The sequence below is a fragment of the Homo sapiens genome, chromosome 8, assembly GCF_000001405.40.
Source record: "Homo sapiens chromosome 8, GRCh38.p14 Primary Assembly".
Classification (NCBI taxonomy): domain Eukaryota; kingdom Metazoa; phylum Chordata; class Mammalia; order Primates; family Hominidae; genus Homo; species Homo sapiens.
The window spans coordinates 84916401-84922400 of NC_000008.11; the positions used below are offsets into that span (position 1 = coordinate 84916401).

General features: G+C 33.2%; 1 protein-coding gene and 1 pseudogene across 56 annotated transcripts in view; one reads left to right on the top strand and one right to left on the bottom strand.

Annotated features, from left to right (window-relative positions):
• RALYL (RALY RNA binding protein like) overlaps positions 1–5444 on the top strand; it is a 739058-nt gene extending 733614 nt beyond the window's left edge. For all 56 annotated transcript variants that reach the window (NM_001413301.1, NM_001413300.1, NM_001354325.2 and 53 more), the window contains one exon: positions 4494–5444. In NM_001413301.1, coding sequence (NP_001400230.1) covers positions 4494–4511 — 18 coding nt within the window. In that variant the 3' untranslated portion in view covers positions 4512–5444. The remainder of the gene's footprint in view (positions 1–4493) is intronic.
• LOC124902092 (uncharacterized) lies at positions 3418–3513 on the bottom strand (annotated as a pseudogene).
• Positions 5445–6000: the final 556 nt, after the last annotated feature.

Here is a 6000-nt window from a genome sequence, read left to right on the forward strand (position 1 = left end):
CATCTTGAATGCCCAAGTATTGTAGAAGGGTTCTGGTGGGAGGTAATTGCGTAATGGGGGCACATCTTTCCCGTGCTGTTCTTGTGATGGTACATAAGTCTCATAAGATCTGATGGTGCTATAGGGGGGAGTTTCCCTGCACAGGCTCTCTCTTTTTGCCTGCTGCCATCCATGTAAGATGTGACTTCCTCCTCCTTGCCTTCTGCCATGATTGTGAGGCTTCCCCAGCCACGTGGAACTGTAAATCCACTAAACCCTTTTTCCTTATAAATTACCCAGTCTCAGGTATGTCTTTATTAGTAGCATGAAAACAGACTAATACAGTAAGCCATGTCCCAAAACAAATATCCATAAAGAATATGGTAGTTCTAATTATAATTTATGTTAGTATATTGTTTTCAATTTGAAATCAAAAGCTCTTTATACTGTGTCTATAAATCAATCTTATAAACTAAAGTAAAACATGATGCAAAAGTTTGACAGTCACTTTATAATACTTATAGGAAAAGTTTCTGTGGATTTGGTAAACAAAGTTAAATTTATTTTAACATTAAGTTCCTCCTTTTTCCTTTTCCTTTTATGATTGTTTCATAGTATTGTTTTATGTTTAGCTTCAGTTTTAGGAAAGAAAATAAAACATCTTAGCATACCATATACAGTAACTTAAATTCTATGATACTATAGAAAATGGCTGATTTTCCTAGCCTTTTTATCTTTCCATTTCTGTATGAAATAACAAAACCCACTGATTTGGGCATTTGTGATCCACTATGCTAAAAAGCCCTGTTGTTTCTTGGTCTTTTTTATTTCATGACTATTGTGAGTCAGATGGAAAATAGGATAAAGACATGAGAATTACTGAGCAGAACAATGGGTTTGAGTTATAAAACTGAACAGTTAGGAGGGGCAGGGAAATAAGGACAGAGAAGGTGGAATGGAGACAGGGAAAAAAGCAGTGAGCATGTTCAGAAGACAGTTTGCCAGTGTAGTCACAATTTACCAAGAATCACTATAGACAATGTCAAGGGTTAGCCCAATTTACATTCAAGCATTTATCCTTTGTGTTACAAACAATTTAATTATTCTCTTTTAGTTATATTAAAATGTGCAGGTAAATTATTATTGGCTGTAGTCACCCTGTTGGGAAATTACATACTAGATGTCACTCATCTAAGCCTTGTTTTTAAAGTTAAAATCTCAGATGATTCTCCCCTGTGTTTTCTGATTCACTGTCCTATACTCTAAATGGCCATCAACTCAGGAATAGAGATTATTCAGCCTCCAAGAACTACCTAATGGAGCAGTTTCCTCCATTGGTAGTTATTCCAATAAGTTACTACTCATTTTGGTTTTCATTCCATTACAGTTTTTTGATATGATTATTTGAGCCTAAAAATGTAACGTAATTTGGTTCCTAAGAGTTTATTAACAGAAGACAAGTTTTAACTTATGATGAACAGTAGGTGCTGAGAATTAGTCTGTGTTACTTAAAAATTTGAATTGAATTGTATCTCATTTAGAATGAGGGATTTGTGAAAGCCAAATATATTCACATTGTCTATAAAAAGTGTGAGTGGCTGAATGATTACTCAAGAAACATGATCCATAGTGGCAACAAGTATAATTGCTGTTCATAAGACTTTGCTTTTCTATAAAGTGTTATGTGACCTGTCTTACCTACAGTTTCTTTCACCTTATTTGCATTTATATATGCTCCCTAAAAATACAGATGATGTAAATTTCTCTAAGTTCTTATTAGTTATAAATCTGAATTAGAACAAAAATAACAAGCATTCCTGCTACTGAAGAAGTCATAAGACTTATTTAAAAGTATGATTTTCTGGGCAGAGTGTAAATAAGGTGGATTTATTCTATATATTGCTGTACTCTTTTATTTCAAATATAGTAATGCATAAAGTTTAAAATTAAATGTGCCTTCCATGTAGATTAATACTATCCATTTCATCTTTGTCAAGTAGAAGTAATTGCTTGGTTCAATACAATCCAGTCCCATCCGAGTAGATCTCTTTGTTCTTTTTCAGAAATGGGAGAGATTGAGAGTTTAAAAAGCATTCATCATCAGGAGAATTTGTTTTAAAAGCTTCCAAGCTCCCAAACAGCCAGTAGATAAATTACCCACTATTCAGAGAAAGAGAGCACAATTAGTTTTACATTATACTAAAACAATCAGCTCCATAAGTGACTATGTTTCTTAAGAAAAAAGCAATATGAATGTCATAGTTTGTCCTCTTTCTCCCAGGCTTTACAGCCAACAGCAAGCCTTTTCTCATACTAGAAGTTTTATGGAAAGCTTTGTGAATATGTTTTGACATTGTTTTTAGATAAGGAGAAATATATTCATGACTTGTAACCATGTGGTTAATAATACCTACTTCACAATGCAAAGTTAATGAGTCTTTTGTTTTATTCAAATGCTTTGAAGCTTTATGGTAAGAAGGAAGACTTCAATAAATTATTTTCAAATCTACCTTTCTTTCCCCAATAATTATTTTTATGTAATTATTTACAACTAAGAAGCAAAGGAAGGTGTAAGAAAAAATTATACTGGGGGTAATGAATTATGCACAAAAAATCTACAGGTTGTTTTTTTCATCTTAACAAAATACATAGTTGCTAAACAGTCATTACCTCTTTTGACACATGCAGGATGGTGTAAGAATGTACTAAATTCATGTCAACTGCCATGACTTAACCTGGAGAAACACCATGACTAGTAAGCTTTACATACACAGCTGCTACAGTATTTTTAGCATTTTCCATTTATAATAAGAAAGTGATCAATGGAGGCCTTAGAGGAAAGAGTGCAATTGCAATCATATAAATAGCCTTATTTCCTTTTTTGCACACAAGTGGTATCTATCAAAATTCAAACATTGTAATACCTATTTTCATATATCAGTGTTCATCTATGGGTTACTTTTATTTTATTTTTTAAGTTATTCATTCTCATAATGATAATTGATCATTGTTGATATGTGCATGCAGGTCATATACAAAACTTCCTTTACACCACACAAAAAGTAGTCTACTTATGTTGTATAATAAGTTCGAACCTTTGTGCCTTAAGTACAAAACTGACTCTTCTCATGCACATAAACACAACCTGGAACTGCATGACAAACACATTTGAATAAAGCTTTCATTTTTCAAAATTCATATATATGTGATCAGTGTACAGTATGAATTGGGTAAGGAGAAAGAGAGGGAAGAGAAAAGGAAAAAGGCAGTGAAGGAGAGAAATAGAGAGAAAGAGAATATATCAAAATACAGTGTCAAAATGTCTTATTCATGAAAGCTTCTTTCCTAGGGATATAAGTTTTTAAATGTGTCTGACTATAGAAAAGACTATTAAGTGGGTATGTTTTGTTTTAGATCAGTTTATTAAATTTTTTTTCATGTTAGACAGGTAATGTGCCAATATCATAACAAGATTTGAGGGAGGCACATCTCACACATGAGTGTGAAAATTCAATCATCACATTCACTGAGTCTCTTTCAACCAGTAGTCTTAGCCAGGCATGAAATCTGGGGGGCTGCAAACCTCCAAAGAAATTCTCACCACCCATTTGCCACACTCAGTCTTTTTCATAATCTTTGTATCATGGACTTCAAAGCTTTAATAAATAAAGTCAAGTTACCTAATTCTCTGGCTACTTATAAAAGGTCAACATGTCCCATCCCATCTGATACCTTGATTTGCATGTCTTTGACTCTTAAGACATACACAGATTTTCTATCTAACCCCTAAGACCTTTGAAGTTGATGGGATAACAGTAGGTCTAATATTTTTTATCTAAATATAAAGACCTGGAACTTGATAGGATTCTAAGATAAATACATAATTTTCCCCACTGATTGAGTCTTGCATTATTTTGTCTTCATATTCAATTTCAATCAGTTGTTCAACCAATTGAATTTGGGCTCTTACATAATGCTTCAGACTCATGGTTGCACCATGAAGTCTTTCAATGTTTCTGATTTTCTTCTTTTGCAACCAAGATTGTGAAATGCAGATCAAAGACCTGTATTGGCTTTTTCTCCTATCCCAGATGCATAAGGCTTAGGACAGCACTGTTCAAAGCCTCGTAGTAGGGGTATCCTATGGTCATTCTTGTTAGGGGCACAACAAAGATTCACGAGTAATTGAAATCTCTTTCCCTAGTCTAGAACTTTAAGTGGTTCCTCCTTTGACTTGGACAAGAGCTCAGGTTGAAAAGTAATTGCTGACCTCAGGCAATAAATTAGCTGGATTAAAAAAAATCGTAACATTCCATAAATGAAAATAATTATAGATTTGCCTACAACAAAGGACCTAAGAACCTACCATCAAAATTATTTGTCCTAAATATCTAATTCTTCCTTTATTCTTCCCCTGATCTAACCTTAAAATCTAACTTACATATCAGTATACGCATGCTATCAACAATAAAACACAAATCTCTGTATTTTAAAATTTTTTTTTATTTTCTCAGTTTCTACAGATAAAGTGATCTGAAATAACGCATGATGCCACAAAGCAGAAAAGAGAAACTGTGACAACCCCCAGAAATGTGAAAGGAGGTTTCTTACTGGACAGCAGCATCTTTGGTTCAATTTATATAAAAACCCAAATAAATAAAATGGACAGTATTGCTCAGTTTTAGAAATTCCATTTCTTCTATGTTTTAAGCTGTACAATTGTCAGGTTTTTATGGTTTAAATTGTAAATGTGTTTTCCCCTTTGCTAATTATGTTTTTTTTTTCAGTCTTAAAATGTGAAAGGCATTTATGAATGGTAAGGGAAACACTATATACAAATGTATATTTGTAAAAGCTATTTTTATGATTAGCATGTTTCACTGTTGATCATATATAAAGTCAGGTGATATTGCAATTCTGTATTTAAAGCTTATTTCCAACAATGTCATGTAAGAAAAGATGCATCTTATGCTAGTTTTTATAATTTATTTATAATTTATAGTTTAAAGTACTTCAGATCATAATGATAAAATACTTGAAAAAGTTATATTTCTGCCCTGTATAAGCACCCTTTTTATTAATAAAGAATGCAGATATTTCAGATGTGATATAATAGTTAAAGAACTGTTGGTTTGATCTGTGATTAAGTTGAGCATGCTCCGCTCTACTGAACTAAATGATCCAATTATTACTTCAGTCTGGGTATGAGATTCCATGGACAAGTAAGGACTAGATTGCCAAGGAAAAGACTGTCTTGCCCTTGGATCCAAAAGTTTAAATTAGTGCATACATCATGTCATTTCACCTCCTGTTCCTAGGAACTCTCCATTCCCAAGCATTGCCAGTGTTTTCCAGATAATCTTAGCTGTTGTCTTGTGCTGTGGAAATGGAAGAAACCATCTTCACAGACCGTAGGAGAATTCAACATATAATTTCTTAATAAATACTGTTTCTTTTAAAACAAAGTTGGTGTGTATCTTTCATTTGGGGTACATTTAGTTTTAATATTCAGTTTGAACTTTTACAGTCACTGTGCTACCACAAAATCAGCTCCATAATGAAAGTAGTGTATCTTTACCAAAGCGTGCATCATAGGTTCTACATGCCCACACTCTCTTGGGAGTGACCTGTATTCTGGCACTGATAATTTGCCATGTAAAAGAAAGCCAGATGGCCTTCAAACCTTGACAGAAGTCATACTCCAGTTTATATTTTAGGAAAGTATATTTTTCCTCCAAATACAGAATTTTAAGAAAATATTTCAGAATACTACTGAAGGTGAAACTACTTCATCGGGAGGTATTTACGTTCTGCCAGACTTAAAGTCTATAACTAAATGACTGCAAGTTCCTCATTAAAGAGCACAGAGACAACATCTATAAATGTCACCAAGGACACTTAGTAAGATTAAGCCCTCCTTTTTTCAAAGAAACTGAGGAGAGTCTAAAACCACCTTGGTACATGTTCCCTTAATTTTCTATTTAATTTCTTTAAGGTAATTTATCTTATTTCTCTGTCTTT